The sequence below is a fragment of the Homo sapiens genome, chromosome 7, assembly GCF_000001405.40.
Source record: "Homo sapiens chromosome 7, GRCh38.p14 Primary Assembly".
Taxonomy (NCBI): Eukaryota; Metazoa; Chordata; class Mammalia; order Primates; family Hominidae; genus Homo; species Homo sapiens.
The window spans coordinates 3,703,264-3,730,978 of NC_000007.14; the positions used below are offsets into that span (position 1 = coordinate 3,703,264).

Sequence of the window (27,715 nt, forward strand, 5' to 3'; positions counted from 1 at the left end):
ATAGAACACTACTCTGCATCATAAAGGAGTGAGCCGTTAATAATGTAACACTTGGGTGAATGAGTCTGAGGGGAATTACACTGAAAAAAAGCCTGACTTGAAAGGTCACATGTTGTATGATTACATTTATGTAACATTCTCAAAATGAGAAAATTATATAGTTGAACTAACTAGTGGATGCCAGGTTGGGATGAATGGGAGGATTAGATGTGTCTATTAGAGTAGCAAGAGGGAGGTGTGTATGGTGATGGCAGTTTTGTGGCTGGACTGTAGTGGTGGTGAAGTCAGCTACACATGTGATAAAGTGACAGAGCTATACTCACACATTGCACTAATTTCAATTTCCTGATTTTTCAATGCATTGTATTTCCTTAAGCAGTATCCATTAAGAGAATCAGGGTAAAGGGCGCCTGATTTTCTCTGTTCTATTTTTCCAATTTCCTATGAATCTATAATTATTTCAAAGTAAAATACTGTTTTTTTCCTTGAAAAAGGAGACTTCTCCAATGTCCTTCAAAAATATCTGTCGTTGGCTTCCCAAGACGTGTGAATTTGTTGTTGTTTTATTGTGTTTTTGTTTTGTGTTTGTTGGCATCAACCAATATTTTCTTTATTTTATTTCTGCACATTTTACTTTTGTTTTTCATCTTTTTATTTCAATAACTTTTGGAGTACAAATGGCTTTTGGTTACATGGATGAATTGTATGGTGGTGAAGTCTGAGATTTTAGTGTACCCATCACCTGAGTATTGTACATTGCACCCAGTTTGTCGTTTTTTCTTCCTCCCCTTTCTGAGTTCCCATAGTCCATTATATTGCACTGTATGCCTTTGCGTATCCACAGCTTTGCTTCCACTTATAAGTGAGAACATATGGTATTTAGTTTTCTATTCCTGAGTTACTTCACTTGGAATAATGGCCTTCAGCTCCATTCAAGTTTCCGCCAAAGACGTTATTTTGTTCTTTTTTTTATGGATGAGTAGTATTCTATGGTGTATATATACCATTTTTTCTTTATCTACTCATTGTTTGATGCCACATTTTCTTTATCCACGCATTGTTCGATGGGCACTTAGGATGAGGATCCATGCCAATATCGATTTTTTTTTTTTTTACTTTTTAATAATGGCCATTCTTGCAGGAGTAAGGTGGCATCTCACTGTAGTTTTAATTTGCATTTCCCTGATGATTAGTGATGTTAAGTATGTCTCTTGTATATCTTCTTTTGAGAAATGTCTATTTATGTCCTTTGTCCACTGTTTGATGATGATATTTGTGGTTTTCTTACTGATTAGTTTGAGTTCCTTGTGTTTTCTGGATATCAGTGCTTTGCTGGATTCATAGTTTGCAAATACTTTCCCCCATTCTGTAGGTTGTCTGTTTACTCTTGATGATTGTTTCTTTTGCTGTACAGAAGCTTTTTAGTTTAATTAGATCCCATTTATTTATTTTCATTTTTGTTGCATTTGCTTTTGAGGTCTCAGTCATGAATTCTTTTCCTAGGCCAATGTCCAAAAGAGTTTATCCTAGGATATCTAATAGAGTTTTATGGTTTCAGGTCTTAGATTTAAGTCTTTCACCATCTTGAGTTGATTTTTGAATAAGGTAAGAGACAGGGATTCAGTTTCATTCTTCTACATGTGGCTAGCCACTTTTCTCAATACCATTTATTAAATAGAGTATGCTTTCCCCAATTTATGTTTTTGCGTGCTTTGTCAAAGATCAGTTGATTTTAAGTATTTGGCTTTATTTCTAGGCTCTCTACTCTGTTTCATTGGTCTATGTGTCTACTTTTGTATCAGTACCATGCTGTTTTGGTAACTGTAGTTTTGTAGTATAATTTGAAGTCTGGCAATGTGATGCTTCCAGATTTGTTCTTTTTGCTTAGGATTGCTTTGGGTCTTAGGGCTCTGTTTTGTATCCATATGAATTTTAGTATTTTTTTTTCTAATTCCGTTAAAAATGATATAGGTATTTTGATAGGAATTGCATGCAATCTGTAGATTGTTTTGGATAGTATGGTCATTTTCATGATACTGATTCTTTCAATCCATGAGCATGGGATGTGTTTCCATTTATTTGTCATCTATGATTTTTTTCAGCAGTGGTTTGTAGTTCTCTGAAGAGATTTTTCACCTGCTTGGTTAAGTATATTCCTAGTGATTTTATTTTATTTTATTTTATTTTATTTTATTTTATTTTATTTTATTTTATTTTATTTTATTTTATTTTTTATTTTATTTTTGCAGCTTTTGTAAAAGGGATTGAGTTCATGATTTGAGTCTCAGTTTGGTGGTTGTTGGCATGTAGCAATGCTACTGATTGGTATACATTGATTTTTGTGAACTGAAACTTTACTAAATTCATTTATCGAATCAAGTAGTCCTTTAGAGGAGTCTTTAGGGTTTTCTAGTTATGTGACCATGGCATTGGCAGACAGCAATAATTTGACTCTCTCTTTTCCAATTTGGGTGCCCTTTAATTTTTTTTTTATCTTGCCTGATTCCTCTGGCTAGGACTTCCAGTACTGTGTTGAATAGAAGTGGTGAAAGTGGTCATCCTTGACCTATTTCAGTTCTCAGGGAGAATACTTGCAGCTTTGTGCCATTCATGATGCAACTGTCATGATGTTGGATGTGGGTTTGCCACAGATGGCTTTTATTTTGAGGTAAGTCCCATCTATGCCTAGTTTGTTGAGGGTTTTTATAATAAAGGGATGCTAGATTTTATCGAATGTCTTTTCTGCATCTATTGAAATGATTATATGGTTTTTGTTTTTAATTCTTTTTATGTGATATATCACATTTATTGATTCATGTATGTTAAACCTCCCTGCATTTCTGGAATGAAACCCACTTGAGCATGGTTATTATATTTTGATGTGCTGTTGGATTCAATTAGTTCATATTTTGTTGAGGATTTTTGCATCTATATTCATCAAGGATATTGGTCTGTAGTTTTATTTTTTGTTGCTGTTATGTCTTTCCTGGCTTGGTACCAGGGTGATACTGGCTTCACAGATGAGTTAGGGAGGATTCCCTCTTTCTCAGTCTTTTGGAATAGTTTCAGTAGGATTGGCACCAATTCTTTGAATGTCTAGTAGAATTCAGCTGTAAATCCATCTGGTCCTGGGCTTTTTTGTTGGCATTTTTCTTTTTTATGGAGTCTTGCTCTGTCACCCAGGCTGGAGTGCAGTGGCACGATCTCAGCTCACTACAAGCTCCGCCTCCTGGGTTCACACCATTCTCCTGCCTCGGCCTCCCAAATAGCTGGGACTACAGGTGCCCGCCACCACACCCGGCTAATTTTTTTGTATTTTTAGTAGAGATGGGGTTTCACCATGTTAGCCAGGATGGTTGCGATCTCCTGACCTCGTGATCCACCCACTTTGGCCTCCCAAAGTGCTGGGATTATAGGCGTGAGCCACTGTGCTCGGCCAGCAACTTTTTTTTAAATTACTCATTCAGTCTCACTGCTTGTTACTGGTCTGTTTAGAGTTTCTGTTTCTTCTTGATTTAATCAAGGAGGGTTATATGTTTCCAGGAATTTATTCATTTCCTCCAGATTTTCTAATTTGTGTGCACAAAGGTGTTCATAGTAGTATCAAATGATCTTTTGTATTTCTGTGCTGTCAGTTGTAATGTCTCTAGTTTTATTACTAATTGAGTTTATTTGAATCTTTTCTTCTCTTGGTTAGTCTAGCTAATGGTCTATCAACTTTGTCTTTTCAAAGAACAAGATTTTTGTTTCATTGATATTTTGTTTTTGTTTTTTGTTTCAATTTTATTTCATTTTGCTCTGGATCTTTGTTATTTATTTTCTTCTGCTAGCTTTGGGTTTAGTTTGTTCTTGTTTCTCTAGTTCCTTGAGATATGACATTAGATTGTCAATTTATGATCTTTCAGAATTTTTTGTGGAGGCACTTTATGCTATAAACTTTTCTCTTAGCATTGCTTTTGCTGTATCCAAGAAGTTTTGATAACTTGTGTCACTGTTATTTATTTCAAAGAATTTTTAAATTTCCATCTTGATTTCATTGTCAATTCAAAAATCATTCCAGGAGCAGGTTGTTTAATTTACATGTGTTTGTAGTTTTCAAGGTTCCTTTTGTAGTTCATTTCTCATTTTATTCTATTCTGATCAGAGAAAATACTTGAAGTGATTTTGATTTTTAAAACATTTATCGAGACTTGTTTTGTAATCCATTATACGGTCTATCTTGGAGACTGTTCCATATGCTGATGAGAAGAATGTGTATCTGCAGTTCTTGGGTAGAATGTTCTGTAAATATCTGTTAGGTCCATTTGTTCTACAGGAGTTTAAGTCCATTGTTTGTTCGTTGACTTTCTCTCTTGATTGTCTGTCTGGTGCTGTCAGTGGGGAGCTGAAGGCCCCCCCTATTATCGTGTTTCTGTTTATCTCATCTCTTAGGTCTAATAGTAAATGTTTCATGAATCTGTGAGCTCTAGTGTTAAATGCATAGAAACTTAGGATTGTAATTCTTCTTGTTGGATTCATCCTCTTATCATTACATAATGACCTTTTGTGTCTCTTTTTTTCTTTACTGTTGTTGCTTTAAAGTCTGTTTTATGTGATATAAGAATAGCTACTTCTGCTCACTTTTGATTTCTATTTGCATGGAATATCTTTTTCCATCCCCTTACCTTGAGTTTTTATGAATCCTCATGTATTAGTCTCATTGCTATAAAGAAATACCTGAGACTGAGTAATTTATTTTTTTTTAAAAAGAGGTTTAGATAGCTCATGGTACTGTAGGTTGTACAGGAAGCGTGATGCTGCTCAGCTTCTGGGGAGGCCTCAGGAAACTTACAGTCATGGCAGAAGGCAAAGAGGAGCAGGCACATCTTACATGACAGGAACAGGAGCAAGAGAGAATGAGAGGGGAGATGCCACACACTTTAAAATGACCAGATCTCACGAGAACTCACTCACTATCACAAGGACAGTACCAGGAGGGGTGGCACTAAACCATTCATGAGAAACCCACCTCCAAGGTCCAGTTACCTCCCACCAGGCCCTCCATACCTCCAAGGTCCAGTTACCTCCCACCAGGCCCTCCATACCTCCAAGGTCCAGTTACCTCCCACCAGGCCCTCCATACCTCCAAGGTCCAGTTACCTCCCACCAGGCCCTCCATACCTCCAAGGTCCAGTTACCTCCCACCAGGCCCTCCATACCTCCAAGGTCCAGTTACCTCCCACCAGGCCCTCCATACCTCCAAGGTCCAGTTACCTCCCACCAGGCCCTCCATACCTCCAAGGTCCAGTTACCTCCCACCAGGCCCTCCATACCTCCAAGGTCCAGTTACCTCCCACCAGGCCCTCCATACCTCCAAGGTCCAGTTACCTCCCACCAGGCCCTCCATACCTCCAAGGTCCAGTTACCTCCCACCAGGCCCTCCATACCTCCAAGGTCCAGTTACCTCCCACCAGGCCCTCCATTCAACATTGGAAATTACAGTTTGAAACGAGATTTGGGCAGGGGCACATATCCAAACTCTATTACCTTACATGTCAAGTGAGTCTCTTGAAGACATCAGATATTTGGTTTGTATTTTCTATCTATTCTGCCCATGTGTATCTTTTAAGTGGAGCATTTAGGCCATTTACATTCAGTGTTAATATTTAAGTGAAGCACTTAGGCCATTTACATTTAATGTTAATACTGCATTCATGATACTCTTCCAGCCATCATGTTAATTGTTGCCTAGATACTTTATTTTATTTATTGCATTATTGTTTTATAGGCCCTGTGGCTATTATGCTTTCAAGAAGTTCTATTATGGTGCATAACAACCTTTTGTTTCAGAATTCAGAACTCCTTTTAGCATTTCTTGTAGGGCTGGCCTGGTAGTGACAAATTCTCTCAGCATTTATTTGTCTGAAAATTACTTTATTTCTCCTTCAATTATGAAACTTAGTTCTGCTGGATACAAAATTCTTGGCTGACAGTTATTCTGTTTAAGGAGCCTCAAGATAGGACCCCACATCCTTTGGGCTTGTAAGGTTTCTCCTGAGAAGTCTGCTGATAGAAGTCAGGAATGGTTTCCCTCCATCCATGCTGGAGACTGGGCATGCATGCAAGGCCCTTCCTTCTGCTGCTCCTACTTAATATTCCCCACCCCTCCCTGTATCAGGTTCAGCACTAGGTAGGGTTAAGGCTTTCTCTGTGGACTGGATTGCCAGGTTCCCTGGAGGCAGTCCGTCCCACTGTCATACTCACAGTTCTTCACCTGGCTCATGGTGTAGGCTGCAGCCTGCTGCTTCTTTCAAAGGGTCTGTGGTTTCTTTCCATTTTTCTGTTAAATTCCTTCATTGTTTCTTGGAAGAAAGTTAATGGTGTGTCTCTGCAGACTATTTTTTCTTTCCAAGGGGGAGACGCATGCTAACACTGCCTCCAATCCACCATATTGAAAAAAAGAAGTTTTCCTATTTTTAAAGTAAAATCCTTTTCTTGAAATTGGGCTTTTGAAACATTTGCCTAGGTACTTTGCAAGATGAACCAAACTTCTAATATCAAAGGGAACTTGGCCCACCAAAGGGTAGAAGCTGTAGGCTCTCTCCTCCTGCTGTTTGTCATCAAGGCCCACACAGGGGTCCTGGCCCCAGCTGCAAGATGGGCTTTGTGTGAGCTCACAGGAGCAAAGCACGTGCCAGGTGCCCCGAGACTTAAATGTTCTCTCTGCTTTTATATCTTTTCATCATTTCATAGTTTCTGAAATTATTTGACATATTACTTGACTATAAAGGAAAAAAAATCAGAGATTTTATTAAAACTCTGTAAACATTCCTAATTAAACCTCACATGTTGTTCACAAACCTTTTATGTTTTAAGCTGCTTCAGGACAGAGAATTGATTCTCCTCTCATTTTTCACTGACAGATCTGGTGGTACTTAGAGCCAGTAACATGCAGCAGTTAATTATGCTGCTGTCCCACATGTGTACATTTTGTTTTCTTGCCTGTATTTGTTATAAAGAGGGTTCATGTTACATTCCTCTGCACCCTCCAGAATGATTAGGTGGGCGTGAGATCCTCACATACTGAACACACACTTAGTAACTTTCTTGTTGACTGGTTATTCTGTTGTTTCATGTTATTTTAATGAGACTGGGAAAAAAGCCATTGCTCAAATCTGGTTATTCTTTATTAAAGTTCTCATATTGGAATTATTAAGGACTAATGTCATTAGGGACATTTCTACTTTTGATATAGAAACAAGCTGCTTAGGGAAAAATCTCCTGTTTTCATGCTTGACAGTGTAGTTTCTCGTAGTTAAAACAAGTCTTTATGTACTGTTTTATCTCCTGTGCTAAAACAGAACGGTGAAATCTAAGGCAAACATTGTGTGTGTGCTTCGACACTCTCGTAAATTACTCTTGCCATTAATTTAACCACAGTTGTGTTATCACTTGACCTAAAGGGGCTCCTGGATGATTGGGAAACCAGCAGAGAGGCTAATGGGCCAACAATCTTGGCAGCCAACCTCCGTGTATGTCTTGGAAAATTCCTTCAGGATGTTTGCTTTGGCATTTGATTGTTCCTATCTTCAGATTACCTTATTTTATAGTATATTGAATGTTGCATCATTAACAAATACCTGGTTGATATCTTTATTACTGTGGCTTCAGGCAGTAATACAAAGATTTTTCTCTAAAATACAAAGTGTATTTGAAAGCTTTTCTTTACATGTATATCAGTTTCAAACTTTACAATTAAATTTTATTCCCAGGAAACTCTCAGGATGTTCTTTTGTGTATTCATAAGGTATAATTTGATGGCAACTTATATTATTTTTCAGAAAGGAAAATAGTTTCGTATCCAAAAGTTTGAATTGTCTTATTTAAGAAAGTTGACACACTTTAATCACAGGAAACAGTATGATTTGACTTTTCTAAACCACATAAAAGTATTTCTAAATATTTTTGCAGATCTCTTCTTCTCTTTAAAGTGAGAATAATCTTCTTTAATTTTGGAGACTGTGCTAACCATTATCTTTGCTATTAAGGATTAGTTTTGTAACTAAATATGTGTTGAGTCCTGGGCTCACACTTCAGGGATACATCAGGAGACAAGTAAGGCCTCTGACCTCGTAAAATTTACCTGGGAGAGACAGGTAGTTCCAAGTAAACAAATGAATAAACAAGATGATGATAGATGGCTGTGAATTCTATGAAGGAAACAATGACTCAGGTCATGGAGGTGATAGTTTGCTTTGGTGGGTGATCGGGAAGGCTGCTCTAGGGAGGTGACATTTGCATAGCTTCCTAAGTATAAGAAGGAGCCAGAGATGCTGCTGGTACCAGGGCTCAGAGCATTTCAGGCCATGGAGTTGACATGTTCAAAGAGCCCAAAGCAGAAAAGCTGTTTGGTCAAGAAACAGGAAGAAAATGACTGTGGCTGTAGTATCATAAGCCAGGCAAAGGGTCAAGGCAGGGTGGGAGAGTTAGGCAGGAACCAGATCCTGCAGGCCCTGGAGGCCATTGAGGTTCTTCCCATTCTGAGTACAGTGGGGAGCTTCTGTATGCCTGGAAGCTGGGGGCGTTGTGATCTTTTGATTTGACTCCTGGGAGACCAGGGAGGAGCCCTGCCATGGTAGACTTCCAGGGGAAACATCTCTGTGGCTGTTTTCCTGTGCGGGCAAGTTACTTTGTCTAAAGCCCAGTTTCCACATTAGTGAACAAGATTAATGATGGCATCTACACAGTAGGGTTGGTGTGACAGTTCCATAAGAACATGCATGTGAAACGGTTAATCCAGTGCTTGGAGAAAAGCAAATGCTCTACAGCAGAGGTCCGCAACCCTTGGGTAGGAACCAGGCCAGTCCATGGCCTGTTAGGAACCAGGCTGCACAGCAGGAGGCGCAGGGTGGGCAAGTGAGCGAAGTCTCATCTGTATTTACAGCCATTCCCCATCACTTGCATTCCTGCCTGAGCCCCACCTCCTGTCAGATCAGTGGCAGCATATGATTCTCATAGGACCGTGAACCTTATTGTGAACTGTGCGTGTGAGGGTCCTAGGTTGCACGCTACTTATGAGAATCTAATGCCTGATGATCTGTCACTGTCTCCCATCACCCCCAGATGGGACTGTCTAGTTGTAAGAAAACAAGTTCAGAGCTTCCACTGATTCTGCGTTATGGTGAGTTGTATAACGATTTCATTATGTATTACAGTGTAATAATAATAGAATTAAAGTACACAATAAATGTAATGCACTTGAATCATTCCAAAACCATCCCCCAACCCTCTGGTCTGTGGATAAATTGTTTTTCATGAAACTGGTCCCTGGTGCCAAGAAGGTTGGGGACTGCTGCTCTACAGCATTATAACGATATTGTCATGTTGTTTTAAAGATGGATAGGACATTTCACTGCCTTCCTGAAGCGCATGGCAGTGGGCATATGAACAGACATTTACTGGGCAGTAGTTACCTTGTTAGAGAAATGGGTACAAGAGTATACCTGTTCACCTAGGAAAGAAGTTCATTCTGAGGAAAGGGTCAGAAAAGTCTTCCTAAAGGAGCAGAGTCTAAATGTGGCTAAATAAACAAGGAATGGCCCTGCGACTTGGCCCAGGTGCCCCCACAATATAGACCCCTTGGACCTTCAGTGGTGCCATTGGATTCTCTCCTTTGGTTAGTGCACTGTTCCCTGAAAGCTTCTGTGAGCTGCAAACCCATATGCCTGACACCCAGGAATGCTGATTGCTGTTGGCCACAAGCTTGTCTTAAGGGGATGGGCACCAAGGCGTGCCCATGTGGCTGGGGCATGGCAGGGTGCCAGGAGGCAGGTGCTGCGTCCCTGGAGAAGCAGATCTTGCACAGCGGGGAGCAGGCTGAAGGCACCAGGAACCCTCTGCCAGCACACCCCTGAGATAAGCACTTCCTTCAAAGCTGAGTCCGGCTGCTCAGCGAATTGATGGATGATGAAGACATTGTCTTCCTTTGTTAGGATAAGAAGGATAATGATCTTTCTCCTTCCAAGTCGTCTGGGAGCTCAGGCTCTGTGTTGTGATAAAGTACAATTGGGGTTGTTTGTCTTTCCATGCTTACAGAAATCCTATTCCTCAAGAAAAGAAAGAAAGAGCCTACAAAGAACTTAAAACTAAGTAAGGACTTCAAAAAAGAAAGGTGGAGAGAGGGGAAAAGATGACTGCTACACATTTTCCCTTTGCTTCCCACGGGAATGGCTTCATTCTTGCCTTGAGTGTCTTAGATATGTCTCTCCCCCACCCGCAGCACTGGCTTTTCTGTCTTTTACCATTGAATTAGGCCTGGTCTAGACTTCAGTATTTATACCTGAGAGTACAGAAAAGAGGCTTTTCAAGAATACGTCAGTTCTGTTAGAATAAGATCCCATCCGTCATCAGATACCTTTCTACAGCTTTCTGTCACAGTATTTGATCACTGATCATAGAACCTGGACTAGAGATTTCATGTGGAGAATGTACTCCCTTCAAAAGGAAAACCATTCAACAATTTAATATTTAATTGATTAAATACATGTGATTTGCTAATGTTAAGGTATTATAGTCACAGCCCCTCACTTGTTGACAAGTCCTATATCAAGTAATCATAGTGATTAAAAACAAAACCGAGAGTCAGGAATCAGCAAATCAGGCTTTCCACTGCCAAAATGAACATTATATTAATTCATGACTTTATTTAAAAGAGAGAGCACCTCAGACCCTAATTCAAAGACTGTTTCATCTCAGCCCACAAACATCGAAATATCAGATGAGAAACATTTTGAGAGGCAGGTGTGCAGACGGCAGCAAGTCGTGAGCCGGCTGCCTGACAGCAAAGGAGGAAGCGTTTAAAGTATGGAGCCAGGAATTCAAAACAACAACACGTTGACGCCATGGTGCACATCCAGGGCAACAGAAAGAGCTCTGGACTTAGACTCAGAGGGACGGGAAAAACTCAGAGGCTGCAGATAGACCAGGAGGTAGAGGCCTTGATCACTCCTTGTGTAGCCAGACCCGTTGCTTAAAATCTCTGAACTTCCTTATTGTAAAATATGAAGGAAAATCATTACTATTCTTAGAATTAAATATTTGTGAAAGGAGCTTTAGAATGATAGAAGTACCATAGGGATGTTATTATCTTTTTTACTCTCTTTTCAACCTGTCAATTACCTGTTTAAATATGAACTAGTTATTCGCCCTTCCAGAGTCTCAGTTTCCTCTTAAATTAAGAATAATAAGTTTATCCCATTTGCTCATTTCACATCAGTCCTTTAAGTGCTTTGCATTTTGTTACATCTTATGTAAGTGGTGATATTAGCATTACTACATTGTAACACAGTACACAACATCTGAAAATGGTCCTGAGGCCTTCAAAGTTTAAATGTCGTTTAATACACTTTATTGAAGCAGGTACAGAACTGCTGTGTAATTAATTTCAAGACACTTATTTTCTCTCAAAAGTGCTTCTAAAACAAGTTTCCATGCTTGAAGCGTTGAGTGTCAAGTATCTGGGAGATTTGCTTTTGTAGGACGGTTCATTTCCCACTTGTGCCAGAATGAGTCATTTTGTGTGTAAGTGTCAAGCTTGGAGAGGTTCTAATTAAGTGCAAATTACAATGAAATTAATAAATGACACCAATTTTTAGATTTTAAAATGTGCTTTGAGAGAATGCAATGTGGGCTTAGATTGATGGTAATTCTCATATTTTAAGTTGTGATTCAATATTATGTAGCATTAAAACTCAATTAAGTAAAAAATAAATGAAGAATCAAGTAGAGAGAATACTCATCTCTCAGATGCCTCAGCTTCTCCAATGATGGCTTAAAATCTGTTAAATGCTAAGGTTGTAATTGTCCTTATTGTTCACTATATTCCAAAATAATTGCACATATAATTAGCTTATTTAGTGAGAGATACTAAATCACCCTGTTCACAAATATACTAGATCGTCATAAATTGTACAAATGTAATTGTAAATTTAAGGTTTTATTTTACTTTTTGCAGATGAGCTGCAGACTATATATAAATTCATGTATGTATCCACTTACCAGAAATTTTATTAAATCAAAATATATTTGACCCAGCATTTTCCGATCCGTTTACAGTGGGAGAAGGTAGGCTACGTAGGTTCTTCCCTCCTCAGGTGGCACTAGTCAAGACTGACAGAGCCACCAGCAACTGATAGCCCAAAGATATCCTCTCAGCCTACCGAACCAGACACCCCTCACCTTCTACCTGGTGATGCAGGGAAGCCCAGGGAAGTGCGTTCTGTCCCACAGGAGGCAATAGCAGGGATAGAGAAGGATCCCCAGACCCTACAGAACAAAGGAGACCAGGACAGCTCTGAAAAACACATTATCATTGGAACTACAGCCCAAAAAAGTAGGCAAAGTCCTATACCCTAAACCCATCAGGCAACTGCCATCTAAAATAAAAGATTTAAATAGGACAAGGAGTCTTAACATAATATCGAAAACGTCCACAGAGAATGGAAAATTACTGAACATACAAAGAACAAGGAAAAATCACAACTTGAATGAGAAGACACAATCAACTGAGGCCAAAATTGAAGTGAGTCAGCTGTTGCAATTACCAGACAAGGATTTTAAAGCAGCCATCATAAAAGGGCGTCAGCAGCAAACTATTCATTCTCCTTGAACAAATGAAGAAATAGAAAAATCTCAGCAAAGAAGAAGAAATTATTTAAAAAGTGAAAGTGAGTGAATTGAAACATTCCATAACCAGAATTAAAAACTAGCAGGATTAGCTCAGTAATAAAGTGGAGAAGACAAAGATAGATCGGTGAATATGAGGATAGATCAATAGAATTTGCTCAGTCTGACCAACAATGAAAAAGGTAGACAAAAAAAAAAAAAAAATGAACAGAGGCTCCTGTGAGGCTGTAACCAAAGATCTAACTTTAATTTTATTGGAGTTCTAGTAGGAGATGAGAAAGAAAATTGGGACTGAAAAAGCATTCAAAGAAATAATAGGTGAAAGCTTTCTAAATTGGGGGAAAAAAAAAACTCCACAAGCCTACAGATTCAAGAAGCTGAATGAATCACAATAGACCCTAAGAAATCAATTTGAAGACACTTAAACTTCTGTGTTGAAAATAAGTAATTTCTGAAAGCTAAGGAAAAATTAGAACTCTGAAAAAAATCTGTCAACCATGAATTCTGTATTTGGCAAAAATATCATTCAAGTATGAGGGGAGGCCACGTGTTATCACGTGTAATATCAGACCTGTAATCCCACCACTTTGAGGGACATTGATGAGGGAGGATTGCTTGAGGCCAGGAATTTGAGGCCAGCCTGGGCAAGGTAGTGAGACCCCATTGCTACAAACAAATCAAAAAATTAGCCAGGCGTGGTGCACACCCCTGTAGTCCCAGCTACTCAGGAGGCTGAGGTGGAGAACTGCTTGAGCCCAGGAGGTCAGTGCTGCAGTGAGCTATTACGGCGCCATTGCACTTCAGCCTGGGTGACAAAGTGAGACCCTGTCTCACCAAAAAAAAAGAAAAAAAAAAAAGAAAAAGGAAAAATCAAACTAAGGAAAAATCAGATAATGTGTTGCTATAATAGTTAAATGAGGTCCTCCAAACAGAAAGAAGAAAATGATCAGAGAAGAAGGCTTGCAACTACAGAAAAGAAAGAAGAACAAATAAGTGGATAATAGGGGTAAATAAAATACACTACTTTTCACTTCATGAGTTTCCTAAATTATATTTGAAGTTTGAAGAAAAAAAATTTAATTCCATCTCAAGCAGTGTTAAATGTATGTAGCAGAAATACTTAAGACTATTAGATTTTAAAAGTGGGGAAGGGAAAAAGATTTCAGTCCTTCCTTTGAAGGAGTGGAATGAGGATACAAGTAGGCTGTGATAGGTTATAGATGCCTCTTATAACAATTAGAGGAACTAATTGACCGAAATAGACCATATCCTGGTTCATAAAATCTCAATGAATTTTAAAGAATAGAAATGCATAGTATGTTCTGTAAAAATAAAGGAATCAAACTAGAAATTAACAGAGAGATAACAGGAAAACTTTAAACATGTGGATATTAAACAACTTCTAAATAATCCATGTGTCAAAGAAAGTATCTTAAAGGGAATAAAGGAAACACTGAACTGAATGAAAAATCAAAATGCAAAACACCATAATTTGGCAGATGCAACTAAGGGCATGCTGAGAGGAAAATTTATAGCATTAAATGTGTATATTAGAAAGAGGGAAGTCTCAAATCAATAATTTAAGCTCCCACCTAAGAACCTAGAAAAAGCAGATAATAAGAGAAAAGACACAAATCACTAATGTTGTAAATGAAATGACCTATCACTATGGTTACTGTAGCCTTTAAAAGAATGATAGGAAAATACTACAGCAGGTTTATGCCCATAAAGTTGAAAACTTAGATTAGCTGGACCAAATGCTCAAAAACTACAAAGTGCCAAAAACTCAACCTATAGATATATAACCTGAATAGTCTTAAAGCCCTTAGAGAAACTTAATTTGCAGTTAAACCCTCCCCACTTGATATCCTGGCAGAGATCATTTGACTTGAGAAATTTGCCACACATTTAAAGAAGAATTTAAATCAGTTTTACAGGGTTTTGTTTATTAAATTAAGAGTAGGAAACACTTCCCAATTCATGTTGTGAGGCCAGTATTATTCTGATACCTGGAACAGCCAAAGACAGCATTTAAAAAAAAAAAAAACTGTAAACCTTTATGTCTCATGAATATAGGTGCAAAAATTCTCAACACAGTAATGGCAAACTGAATCCAGCAAAGTACAGGAAGAATTAGACACCGTAACCAAGTGGGTGTTATTCCAGGCATGCAAGGCTGGCTTCATATTTGAAAATCAACTCATGTAAGTCATACTAACAGCAGTCCAGAGAAGAAACTTTATGAGCATATCCATTGACACAGAAAAAGCGTTTGATAAAATCCAACACTCAGCTGGTTGCGGTGGCTCATCCCTGTGATCCCAGCACTTTCAAAGGCCGAGATGGGTGGAATCACTTGGGCTCAGAAGTTGGAGACCAGCCTGGGTGACATGGTGAAACCCTGTCTCAAAAAAATAATAAAAATAATAAATTGGCCAGCTGTGGTGCCAGGTGCCTGTAGTTCCAGATACATGGTGGGCCTAAGGTGGGAGGATCGCTTGAGCCCCGGAGGTTGAGGCCCGGAGGTTGAGGCTGCAGTGAGCCATGTTTGCACCACTGCACTCCAGCCTGGGTGACAAAGCAAAACTGTATCTCAATAAATAAATAAATAAATAAATAAATAAATAAATAAATAAATAAATAAATAAATAAATAAATAAATATCTAACACTCATTCATGCTAAAAATTCTCAGCAATCTAGTTATAGGGAGTAGCTTCATCAACTTCGTAAAGAGTATGTACAGAAACTTACAACTAATACACTTAGTGGTGAGAAGGTGAATGCTTTTTCCCCAAAGTTGGGAACCAGGCAAGAATGACCGCTCTCCCACTCTTAACAGAGTACCTAACCAGTACAATAAGGTAGGAAAAAAAAAGGCATCCAAGTTTGAAAGGAGGAATAAAAGTGTTCTTATTTGTGGATGACATTATTGTCTTCATTGAAAATCCAAAGGAATTTACAAAAAAGTCCCAAGCTAATAAGTGATTCCAGCAAGCTTGCAGTATACAAAATCAACACATAAAAATCCATCACGTTTCTATATAATAACGCGTGGAAACCAAATTAAAAATACAATAATACAATGCCATTTATAATTGTTCCTTGCTTTTCATCCTAATGCCTAAGTCCTGGGAACAAATCTTGTTTGTAGATATACCCAAATCTATATTATAGGTATACCCAAGTCTGTATTTCATTTGGGGATAAATCTAACAAGAATAGAAACTATTTTGAAATTTACAAAATGCTGAGAAATGGAAGAAATCAAAGACCTAAAAAATCAGAGAGACTTTGGGGATCAGAAAACCCAGAAAGGTTTTTTTTTTTTTTTTTTAAATATAGGTACTAGACCTAGACAGTCTCATTCTGAAATGTAGATGGCATAGCACAGGACCTATAATAACTAAAACAACTCTGAAAAAGAAGAAAAAAGTAGGAGGAATCATTGTTTCCAGTGTTAACGCTTACTGTATCCTGACAGTAATCGTGACTGTGTGGTACTGGCAAAGGAAAAGAGACATAGGTCAGTAGGACAAGACAGAGAACCCAGAAACAGACCCACACGAATATGCCCAACTAATTTTTGACAAAGGTGCAGAAGTGACTCAGTGAAGAAAAGGTGGCCTTTACAATAATTGTAGCTGGAGCACTTGGACATTTAGGACAAAAGTGGGTGGAACCTTGACCTAAAGTTCATATTTCATTAAAAAGAAAACTCAAAAAAGTATCACATAAAATAAAAACTGTAAAACTTTAAAACTTTTAGGAGTCCGGGTGTGGTGGCTCACGCCTGTAATCCCAGCAGTCTGGGAGGCTGAGGTGGGTGGATCATGAGGTGAAGAGATTGAGACCATCCTGGCCAACATGGTGAAACCCCGTCTCTACTAAAACTACAAAAATTAGCTGGGTGTGGTGGTGCGTGCCTGAAGTCCAAGCTACTCAGGAGACTGAGGCAAGAGAATTGCTTGAACCCGGGAGGCGGAAGTTGCAGTGAGCCGAGATCGTGCCACTGCACCCCAGTCTGGTGACAGAACAAGACTCCATCTCTTAAAAAAAAAAAAAGAAAGAAAAGGAAAACTCAGAGTATCTTTGGGATCTAAGACTAAGAGAAGAGTTTTTAAATTTGATGATACCAAAGGTACGATTTACAAAAATAAAATCTTATCACAATTAAAAACTTTTATGAATGACCTTATTAAGAGTATAAAAACCAGCCACTCGGGAGGCTGAGGGAGGGGAATTGCTTGAACCAGAGAGGTGGAGGTTGCATTGAGGCAAGATTGTGCCATTGCACTCCAGCCTGGGCGACAGAGCGAGACTCTGTGTCAAAAAACAACAACAAAAAAAGTATAAAAACAAAAACTGCAGACATGGAAAAAAAATTTGTAAACCACGTACCTGATGAAGAACTAGAATATACTAGAATATATTGAATATATAGACTACTCTTAGAACTCAACATTAAAAACCTATCAGAAAATGTGCAAAATACATACACAGATATTTCACCAAAGAGGATATACAAATGGCAAACAAACATGTATAAAGATATTCAACTTTACTAGCCACCAGGAAAATATAAACTGAAACCACAAGGAGATATCACTACAAACCCATCAGAATGGATAAAATAAAAAAGTTGATAGCACCAGATAATGGCGTGAGAATGCAGAGAAACTGGATCACTCATATATTGTTAGTGGGAATGTAACCTGGTACAGCCACTCTAGAAAATAGGGAGTTGAGAATTTCTTCCCAACTTACTCTGTGACCCATGGGTGCTTACTTTATGATCCTTTGCAAGCTACTGCATTCTTGGGCATATCTCAGAGAATGAAAACTACGTTCACACAAAAACCTGTACATGAGTGTTTCTAGCACCATTGTTTGTAATAGCCCAAACCTAGGAAAAGTTCAAATATCTTGCAATAGACAAATATTTAAAACACAGTGTAGTACTTCCATTCCATCACACATCGCTCATAATAAGAAGTGATGGGCTTCTGATACACACAACTGGGATAGACCTCAAGAGAGTTATATTGAGTGAGAAAAGCCAATCTCAAATGGTCACAGACCGCATGAGTCCATTTAGATTCCATTTATTTAAGATCCCTCAAGTTACACAGTTACAGCAATGGAGAAGAGATCTTTTGTTGCCAGGAGTTAGGCTTTGGGATGGAGAGCAAGGGCATGGGTGGGGCTTAAAAAGGGAGCTGGAGGGAGCTTGGAGGTGATGGAACTGTTCCCTCTCTTGGTTGTGGTGGTAGTTACATAAAGCTACGCGTGTGATAAAATTGCATAGAGTGTATTTACACCCATCCATGAGTGCAGGCACTGCTGGTGTCATCTGAATACTCTCTATGAATTCTCCCAACATCAGTTTCCTGGTTTTGATGTTGTTTGGTAAACTGTAGTTACTCAGCACGATGTTGGCACTGGGGCAGGTTGGGTGAAGGATGAATGGGTTTCACTGTACATTTCTTTGAACTCCTCGTAAATCTAATTATTTCAAAATAAAATGAATTAAAGACAATATGAATGAGAGAACATCAAATAATAAGGCTTTCACAGTACAGCGTAGGCTTCTAAAGTTTGGGAGGAGGGCCTTGAGATGATTTGGTAACACCTCTGTGGGTGCACCCTTCTGACGCAAATGACCCTCTGTTGTCTCTTCTGCTCTAACCAGGCATCAGCTATGTGGGTGTCTGGTGTTTCCAAAGGAGGGTAGGATGAGATCAGAGAGTGCATTGTGTGCTCACTGAGGAAGGGGGAGGAATAATGATCTGTTCCCAGGATTAAGAAAGAGGAAGAGGAGATACAGGACCATAAGAAAAGAGAACCCAGAGCTGAGAGCTTGTAGGAATGTCTCTGCTCCATTCTACTAGGGCTTAGACCGGTTGGCATAACAACTTCATGAACTGTCGGCCATCCTTAAGCTCTCCTTTAGGTACCAATTATCTCCTGATTTTCTCTTCATTATTAACAGTAAATTATTTTCCTTTCCTCTTTCCTTTCCTTTCCTTTCTGACAAAGTCTGTCTTTATCACCCAGTCTGGAAGGCAGTGGCAACGATCATGCCTCACTGCAGCCTTGACCTCTTGTTTTTTTTGTTTTTTTGAGGTTATTTTTGTAGAGCCAGGGTTTCACCATGTTACCCAGGCTGGTCTTGAACTCCTGAGCTCTAGTGATCTTCCTTCCTTGGACTCCCAAAGTGCTGGAATTACAGATGTGAGCCACCAGGCCAGCCCAGGTTAGCAGTAAATCTTGCTAAGATTGGCCCATAAAGAATACCCTGGCTTGGTAGACTGTACAGAAGAAGGGGAGACTCGGAGACCACGTCCTATGCCATAGCCACTATTAGAGAGACAGGAGCCCCAAGAACAGTCGAAGAGGAGTGGAGTTTAGGAAACAATCAGAACAATCTCTCTCCCCTGGTATGGCAGCCGCAAGGAAGGGGCACCCTGGGGAGTCAGCCCAGGGTAGAGAAGTACATTTGGAGCCTTTAATCAGGGAAGCTTGCAGGGCTGCGGCACTCACCGCAGGGGACACCACCAGGGGGAAAGCAGGCAGGAGCCATTTGCCTTCCCTCCTCTTCAATCCTGTATCTATGTCCCTGTGCTGCTGAGGTCCAGGAGCTCCTTAGGGATGCACTGTGTGTACGCGCCTTAGCACGCTGCACAATTCCGGACACACGGGGTGCTTATAAAGCGCTGTGGTGTATTTAGCAGCATCCTGTAGCCACCACATGGTGCCCAGACAGCTGCAGGCTGAACTCAAGTGCCCCACCCCCTGGTGCAGAATCCTCAGATCCGGGGACTCGCGCGGGTGGCTCAGCACCGCCCTCTGTCTGTTCTTAGGTCTTGCTCAGAGGCTGAAGCAGGGTGGGCTTTCTGGCTCACAGGGCCATCTGACCACTCCCCTCCTGGCCATTCCCCCTCCTCTCTCAGGACATATGCTTTCCCCAAGATGGAGAGGAGAGCCAGCCTGAATCCTTGGTGTTTGTAAACTCCTTTCACCTGGAAATTGCTTTACATGTTTTAAACTTCACATTACTCTTTGGGAGAAGAAAAGAAGTAACAAGTAATATTCAATTTCACACTTGGGAAACAAACAGTGAAGTTAAGTAACTTTCATAATGCCAGATAGCATATCTGTGTTAGGAAAGAATGTGTGAGTCCATATAAAATTCTGTCCTCAGACGTTTCTCAAGTGTGTTCTAAAATAAAAGGCTTCTGTACTCAAAATTGAGCTTTGTCCCTGTTGAATAGTAAATTAAGAGTTCAAAATGAGACAGTAAATAAGTTAGACCAAGTAAGTAAGCTGCCTTTGAGTATGGAGGTAGAGACATAAATTCGTATGATTACCATAGAAAACAGGCAGCACTTTCCTGAAAGAAGAGCAATTTTTATATCTTAAATATAAGCCTTTGAAAAATACGGTATTTGTTGATAAAAGGAAACTTCTAAGGGCTGCTACTATATCTTGATGACTTAATAAGGGGATCTCCCTGTGGATGGGGTAAGTTAAAAGAGATTATTTCTTCAGTTTTTCTTTATTCACACACTAGTAGCAAAATTAGAAACATCAGTGAGAAAATTATATCTGATTTGTTGATATAACCTTATGAACTTTCCATTATAAAACCTGAAATTAAAGTATATGTTGTTTTCTTTAATGAAGTTTAAAGAATTGGAAGAAGACATTTCATTCAGTTAGTAAGTAAAAGTTGTGTGTGTGTGTGTGTGTGTATACGTGTATATACACGTACATATACATATACACGTGTATATACACGTACATATACATATACACGTGTATATACACGTACATATACATATACACGTGTATATACACGTACTTATACATATACACGTGTATATACACGTACATATACATATACACGTGTATATACACGTACATATACATATACACGTGTATATACACGTACATATATATATACACGTGTATATACACGTACATATATATATACACGTATATATATATATATATATAGAGAGAGAGAGAGAGAGAGAGAGAGAGAGAGAGAAAGAGAGAGAGAGTCTCACCTGTTGCCTAGGCTGGAGTACAGTGGTGTGATCTCGGCTCACTGCAACCTCCGCCTCCCGGGTTCAAGCGATTCTCCTGCCTTAGCCTCCCAAGTAGCTGGGATTACAGGCGTGTGCCACCATGCTCAGCTAATTTGTTGTATTTTTAGTAGAGACAGGGTTTCATCATGTTGGCCAGGCTGGTCTCGAACTCCTGACCTCAGGTGATCCACCCACCTTGGCCTCCCAAATTGCTGGGATTACAGGTATGAACCACTGCGCCCAGCCAAAAATTGCTGTATGAAATAGTTATCAGTCAGGAGCAGGAGCTCACACCTGTAATCCCAGCACTTTGGGAGACTGAGGCAGGAGGATTGCTTGAGCCCAGGAGTTTGAGACCAGCCTGGGCAACATAGTGAGACCCTGTCTGTACAAAACATAAATAAAATAAAATAAATAGTTGTTATTCTATTGTACCATCACCTTATTATGTCTGAGCAGTATTTGTTTGATGTAGGCTAAAAGGTGAGAAGAGAGAAACAGAAAACTGTGATCATGATTATGCCTTCCAAGGGGCCTAATATTGAACTGTACTAGGTCGACTATTAACAGACTAAAAATGTTTGAAAGCGCATATGCAACAAAAGTGGTTTTTATCCCAAGAAAAGCCCTGGATAGGCTGCCTGGTCCTTGGGTTGCTGTCTTCCATGAGGTGATTCAGAGACACGGGCTGCTTGGGTCCTGCAGTTGTACTGTCTACCAGCTCGCCTGCAGTCAGCTTTCGGAAGGAAAAAGGAATGAGGAGGGAGCCCACCTACCTCTTACAACCCTGGACTGGCCTGGCCCAGAAGCATCCCATGTCATTTCCACCACCCTTCCACCGAAGAGAACTTGTCACATGGCCATGTGGCCATGCCTACCTGGAAAGAGGGTTGGAAATACAATTCCTGGCTGGGGTTTAAATGTGTATTTTAGAAATGAAAATAGATTTTCGTGGACAGCCAGCTCAGCTGCCTCAGAGGCCTTCTTAAGCTGCATTAGCTTAGACTTTCTTATTTAGCCACATCCTGATTCAATGTGAATGGGCCTAGTTGTTACTTTTAAGAGAAAGATAGATCTACAGAGCTGAATCCTTTTTCAGTAGATAGAGGAAGTAACTTTCTGAATAGAGTTCAGTTAAGAAGGAATTGCTAGGGACTTTCTTGCTAGAAGAAAATCTGCCCTCATTTGTACTAGAGAGGTAAAAGAATGCAGGGTTCAAGGAAGACGGACTTTCACATGGTACTCCCAGCAATTTCATGAGATCCAAAGCACATGGATCTCAGGACTTTGAGTGAGGAAGGAACTGTCCTTCTCAAAGCATTGCAGCCTGATAAGGGCTGAAAAGGAGGAGGGACTTGGCAGAGGACCTGTTAAGTAATCCTCTGGCTGTTCGCCTTGCAATCAGAACATTGTGTAGGTTTGATAAATTTCATGTTTTTCAAAAAAATTCTCTATTCATAGTTACACAAGAAACTGTGATGAGATCCCCTTAAGAGAATATTAATGCTATCAATACAGTTACTATTATTCCAGCACCTTTAGCTCACTCTTGCCACTCTTTGGCGCTCTACTTTTTAATATAAACCATACATAGAGAGACAGGAGCCCCAAGAACAGGGAGGCTGGCCAAGCTGGAAAAATAATCAAAGCATTCTCTGTCCCTGGAGCCCCAGCCGTAAGTGGACAAACTTCAGTTGCCGGAAGCCAAGACCACTGGAGAGAAGAAAATTGCTAGTACCAGTGTGGGAGTTGTACTGTCGTCTTCTCTTTTATAAGCATGGTCACGAATGACATGTGATTTGAAACCACAATTTACTACCGTAATAAAGTTTCTAAAATTACTGCAGTCGGACTCCAATCGTATTGAACAGTCAATTGATTCTGGGTTAAAACATGCTTACATCACAAAATAATGACCGGTTTGAGAAAAATAAGGTTGTCTTCAGGAGCCAATATCTCAGTGCAAGACGGACACTATTAAAATTCTTTAGGGGAAAATAAATTGCTGATTTGCTAAGTGTGCTTGAAGCAATATCACCTTACATCTGCCTAATGTTCTTTCCTCACAGCCTCCCAGTGAAATAGGTAAAGCAGGAATTTCGACTTTATAGAGAAGGATCTAGGGATATGAGAATCCATCATGTGAGAACATTTTAGATAAGTAGCGGAACCCAATTCATAAAACTCTTTACACTGCTCCAAGTAAAACAGGGCAGCCAGTGGATTGACACACACTGTTTTTAAAGACCAGATTTAGAGGTATGCTCACTCAAATCTGTTAATTCTGATCAGTGTGAAGAACGAAGTTAGTGCTTTTGGATATTAAGATAGTTGGTATAGGCAAACAATGAAATTTAAAAGCAGTCACTCGACTGTAAGTATTTCTTTCTTACAGGAAACTGTTTTTGCAGTCTTATGGCAAATTTTGAGGCCCAACTCTCACCCTTTTGCATGTTTTCCTGTAGGAAGTAAATGAATTCTTTGTTTTGTATTTTGTTAGCACTTTCTAAAGTATTTGTTTTCATTTGGTTTTATCCATTGCAAGGCAATTGTTACTGATTTTATTCTTTGTCGTTGAATCATCTCCAAGGTTATAAGTTATGTTAAAAAACAACTTAGCCTTTAATGCTTCAAAAACTTTAAAAGGTGGGTAGTGGGAACATCAACCACTGTGTTCTCTCATATAATCGGGAGCTGGGAGAAATCACAGCAGATTTTGACAGTGTCCTCAGTACCAGCAGACCTTCCTGCAGAAGGGTGTCCAAACTTCCTGGGCTTTATTCCTCTATTAAATGTTCTACCAACTCCCCCAACTCTTCTCTTTACTCAACCCTTGACATGAAACACCTTTCTACTGTGTAGTCCATTAGGGTGTAAATCACACCAAAGAATTTTTGCTCAACCACTTTGCTAGATAGATTGGAAAGAAACACCATTTATTGCATACTAATCAAACTGTAATTGCCTGTCTTCCTGATAAATTGACCATGAATAAGGTAGGTCTCTTTGACTGACAGTCTTGGGAATGTGCATTGCAGTCTTTATAGGCATGACATGCTTCTGATAAGAAAGCAGGCTTGCTGTGAGGAAGGAAACAATGTTTCCCTCTTTTGAAGGGACTGATTTTCACAATTTTCACTTGCATCATAAATAGGTGTTGGCAAAAGTATCACTCACTGATTATGTACATGGCAGATAGAGAAGCATGTTACTTTTAGTTTAAAAAACAACCTTGTTGCCATGTTGATTTAATCAGAGTTCTGTTTGTTTGTGTCTTCTCATCTAATGTGTAATCAGAACCCCTTAATAGGAAGTGGTTTCATTCCATTGCTCTGTATTCTGGAGAGAAAGTCTGATGTTGGATTTATCATTAACGTTTGCCATCAGCTTGTCACCACCAAAGCCCTCTGAATTATTTTCTGTGCTCTCTATAAGGCTGGTTCTGCTCTGCCATCCTCTTTTTGCCAGGGAGAGAATTTTCTTTTTTTTTGAGACGGAGCCTCGCTCTGTCACTCAGGCTGGAGTGCAGTGGCGCCATCTTGGCTCATGGCAACCTCCACCTCCTGGGTTCAAGCAATTCTCCAGCCTCAGCCTCCTGAGTAGCTGGGATTATAGGCACACACCAGCGCGTCCGGCTAAATTTTGTATTTTTAGTAGAGACGGGGTTTCACCATGTTGGCCGGGCTGGTCTCGAACTCCTGACCTCGGGTGATCCACCCGCCTCAGCCTCCCAAAGTGCTGGGATTGCAGACATGAGCCACCGCGCCCGGCCGAGAAATTTTAAAATGAGTCACCAGGAATAAAATATATTAACCAAGCGAGGTCCACCGTTTATTCAGATTTTCCTAGTTTTTGCTCAATGCCTCCTTTCTGTTCCAGGATCCCATCCAGGATACCACATTACATTTAGTCACTGTATTTCCTTAGGTTTTTCCAGTCTCTGGCAGTTTCTCCAACTTTGCTCGTTCTTGATGATCTTGACAGTTTGAAGGGGCACTGGTTAGGTATTTTGTAATATGTTCTTCAGTTGGATGTTTCTGATGTTTTTCTCATGGTTAGACTGATGATGAGTTTGAGGAGGAAGACAGCAGAAGTGAAGTCCCACTCTCATACCATGTGAAGGGCCCATGCCATCAGCATGGCGTGTCACTGTTGATGCTGAACTTGATCACCGCTGAGGTAGTACTTATCAGCTATCTCCACTGTAAAGTTACTCCGTTTCTCTTTGTTTTTGTACTACTTCTACCTATTTTAACTCTAGCTGTCCTGCAAGTGCTGTCTCAGGGTTCACTCCTTCTGGGTATCTTCTCTTAAATCTGACCAACTTAGTGGAATGTTTCACCACAGACATAATTTCAAATAGCCCAGTTATTGAGAATTGCATTAGGAAGGAAGGCGGGATGTGCTCACCACCTCTTAGCTGAGTGACTCCCTCTGTGATTCCATCACATCTCACAACTGTAGTCTTTTACACATGAATAAATCCCCAAAACTCTTCCCAGCATTTCTTTCTGGTCAACAGTGGAGAAAGGCCTTGTGACATTGAGAAGAGAAGTTGGCCATGTAGTCATGAGTTAGCAAATTCCAGTGGCTGTTTCTTTTTTTGAGACAGAGTCTCACTCTGTCGGCCTGACTGGATTACAGTGGCACGATCTCAGCTTACTGTATCCTCCACCTCCTGGGCTCAAGCAGTTCTCCTGCCTCAGCCTCCCAAGTAGCTGGGATTACAGGCATGTGCCACCATGCCTGGCTAATTTTTGTATTTTTAGTAGAGGCGGGGTTTCACCATGTTGGTCAGGCTGGTCTCAAACTCCTGACCTCAGGTAACCCGCCCACTTTGGCCTCCCAAAGTGCTGTGGGTCCGTGAGCCACCGCACTGGACCAACAGTGGCTATTTCTAAGAGACCTATCTCTCTAAAAAAAAAATCTCTAGAAAAACTTGTATTTAAAAATTATGAAGGCAACTCGAGGGAGAATATAGGATGCCAACGGTGTCTCCTGACCTTAGCCTTTGCGATTAGGTGCTGATTGTGTGAAATCCGGCTTGATCATTTGCTTTAACCATACTGGGCAACATTGTCCTTGCCTGGAGGATGTTTATATTTATTTTACCATGGCATCAAACTTTTTAGGATATTAATAAAGTTTGGATGTAAGATCTAATGAAATTAAGTGTTCTTTATCTTAGGAAAACATCATTTTGTTTTGCATTTGCAGGCGGAGTTAGCATTTAGATATTCAGGTTTGGGACTATGAAGGTCTATTCTCATTCTGGCTAATATATAATTCCTTAACTTAATGGTTCTGTTGTTGAAAGTGCTTGCTCTAGCGCTGTATTCCTACACAGTAGCCTAGACTATTGGTCGAGGGGGAGGATTTATCCCTTAGGAAACACTTAACAATTTCTGGAGACATTTGTGGTTGTCACAACTGGGTGGGGGCCACATTTGCCATCTTGTGAGTGAAGGCCAGGGATGCTGGTAAACATCCTGAAATTCACAACCTCTCACAGCAAAGAGTTATCTGACCCACAATGCCAACAGTGCTAGATATGGGAAGGTTAATTGGTTGGCCACATTACCTTTGCTTCTTGTCTGGGGCAGCTTTCCCTAGACCCTGAGGCATGTTGTATATATACTTAATTTTGTTAGATCATCCCAGAGAACATCTGCGGCCCTAGGTCAGCTTCACAATGAGTCTAACTTCTAGATCAGTGGTTTCCATTGAGCCTGTGTGAACACGAAGATCTTTTTTAATGACCAGAATTTTTAGTCTTATAATTTTTGAGCTCTTATTATTTAAGAACCGAGAAAATCCTCGGTTCTCGGCCTTTTGGCTAAGATCAAGTGAAGAACTGAGAAAATGTGTGATGATGCTAACATACATGCTATCTCGCATGCAGTGGCTGTGGATTTAGTAACATATCTCGAGTAATTTTCATTTTGTTGAACATAACATTTGGAAAACAGTAGTACATATATATGTATATATGTGTGTGAGAGACCCATTATTTCATTATTCATTCTACAGATAGTACTTGGGTACACATGGATTTGATGGCCCCTAGCAGGAAATATTTGTCCTCATAGAGAAAACAGCCCACAGCTTAGGGACCATTGCTGATGAGGATCCCTTTGAAACAGAGATGACTTGGAGAACACTCACATCTGTAGCTGAAACAAACAGTCTAGGAAATAGGGAAGGGCATCTCAGCCTCACATACAGTGCCCACTTATTAAATTTCTGCAAATGATGGGAGGTGCTCTGTTGTGGTTTTCATGCCTGTTGTTAAAGGAATCTGACAGCCGAGGCATCAGGCTGCTTTCTTCAGCCCTGGTGAGAGTAGGAGCTCTGGAGTGAAGCCAGTGAATAGAACTTTGCCAAGATTCTGAATCTTCTGGGACCATCTGTGTCTACTTTTTCAAAAAGCAGATTGTGTGAAATGACAGGTGGGTAGGACACAGAAGGTAATAGAGATGTGAATGAGAAGACTCTAGGAAGGGAGAGAGCAAGTACGGGTGCCAGCGGGAAGAGCCCAGCAGAAGATTGAGTGTCCTGGCAGCAGGACTGAGAGGATGAGGTCACAAATGGCTTTTTTCTCTGGGAAGGAAGCCAGTGGTGTGTGAGTTGTGGCTTGGGTTCCAGATCTTAGATCAGTTTTCCTTACACACAATATTAACGTTCATATTCCTTCCAGGAAACTATCAAGAGTAAATGGATCAACAGGCAGCCAATTGGAAGAGCCTCAGACATAGCAAGAGGGTGGCATGGAGGGAGAGGACATATAACCCTCTCTTTGGCAGCTGTGCCTACCACACTCTGGCCTTGAAGATTCTGCTTTGGCTCCCAGACTAGAGACCCTTTTGCATCTTTGCCATCAGTCTTTTTGGAATACAGCATCAGGCCTAAGGTCCCAGATGAACCTTAGGACAGCTTTCATTTTGAAAATTTTGGTTCTCA

General features: G+C 40.1%; 1 protein-coding gene across 1 annotated transcript in view, besides 4 other annotated features; it reads left to right on the plus strand.

Moving 5' to 3' along the window:
- Positions 1-27,715, plus strand: part of SDK1 (sidekick cell adhesion molecule 1) — a 967,749-nt gene that overhangs the window by 402,012 nt on the left and 538,022 nt on the right. The window lies entirely within an intron of this gene.
- Positions 9,274-9,775: an enhancer, noted in NCBI's record as "NANOG-H3K4me1 hESC enhancer chr7:3752169-3752670 (GRCh37/hg19 assembly coordinates)". NCBI's record gives its function as "activates a minimal SCP1, AML or CMV promoter by ChIP-STARR-seq in naive H9 embryonic stem cells {active_cell/tissue: H9 hESC(naive)}" and the evidence as "EXISTENCE:reporter gene assay evidence [ECO:0000049][PMID:30033119]".
- Positions 9,776-10,275: an enhancer, noted in NCBI's record as "NANOG-H3K4me1 hESC enhancer chr7:3752671-3753170 (GRCh37/hg19 assembly coordinates)". NCBI's record gives its function as "activates a minimal SCP1, AML or CMV promoter by ChIP-STARR-seq in naive H9 embryonic stem cells {active_cell/tissue: H9 hESC(naive)}" and the evidence as "EXISTENCE:reporter gene assay evidence [ECO:0000049][PMID:30033119]".
- Positions 18,785-19,328: an enhancer, noted in NCBI's record as "H3K4me1 hESC enhancer chr7:3761680-3762223 (GRCh37/hg19 assembly coordinates)". NCBI's record gives its function as "activates a minimal SCP1, AML or CMV promoter by ChIP-STARR-seq in naive H9 embryonic stem cells {active_cell/tissue: H9 hESC(naive)}" and the evidence as "EXISTENCE:reporter gene assay evidence [ECO:0000049][PMID:30033119]".
- Positions 19,329-19,871: an enhancer, noted in NCBI's record as "H3K4me1 hESC enhancer chr7:3762224-3762766 (GRCh37/hg19 assembly coordinates)". NCBI's record gives its function as "activates a minimal SCP1, AML or CMV promoter by ChIP-STARR-seq in naive H9 embryonic stem cells {active_cell/tissue: H9 hESC(naive)}" and the evidence as "EXISTENCE:reporter gene assay evidence [ECO:0000049][PMID:30033119]".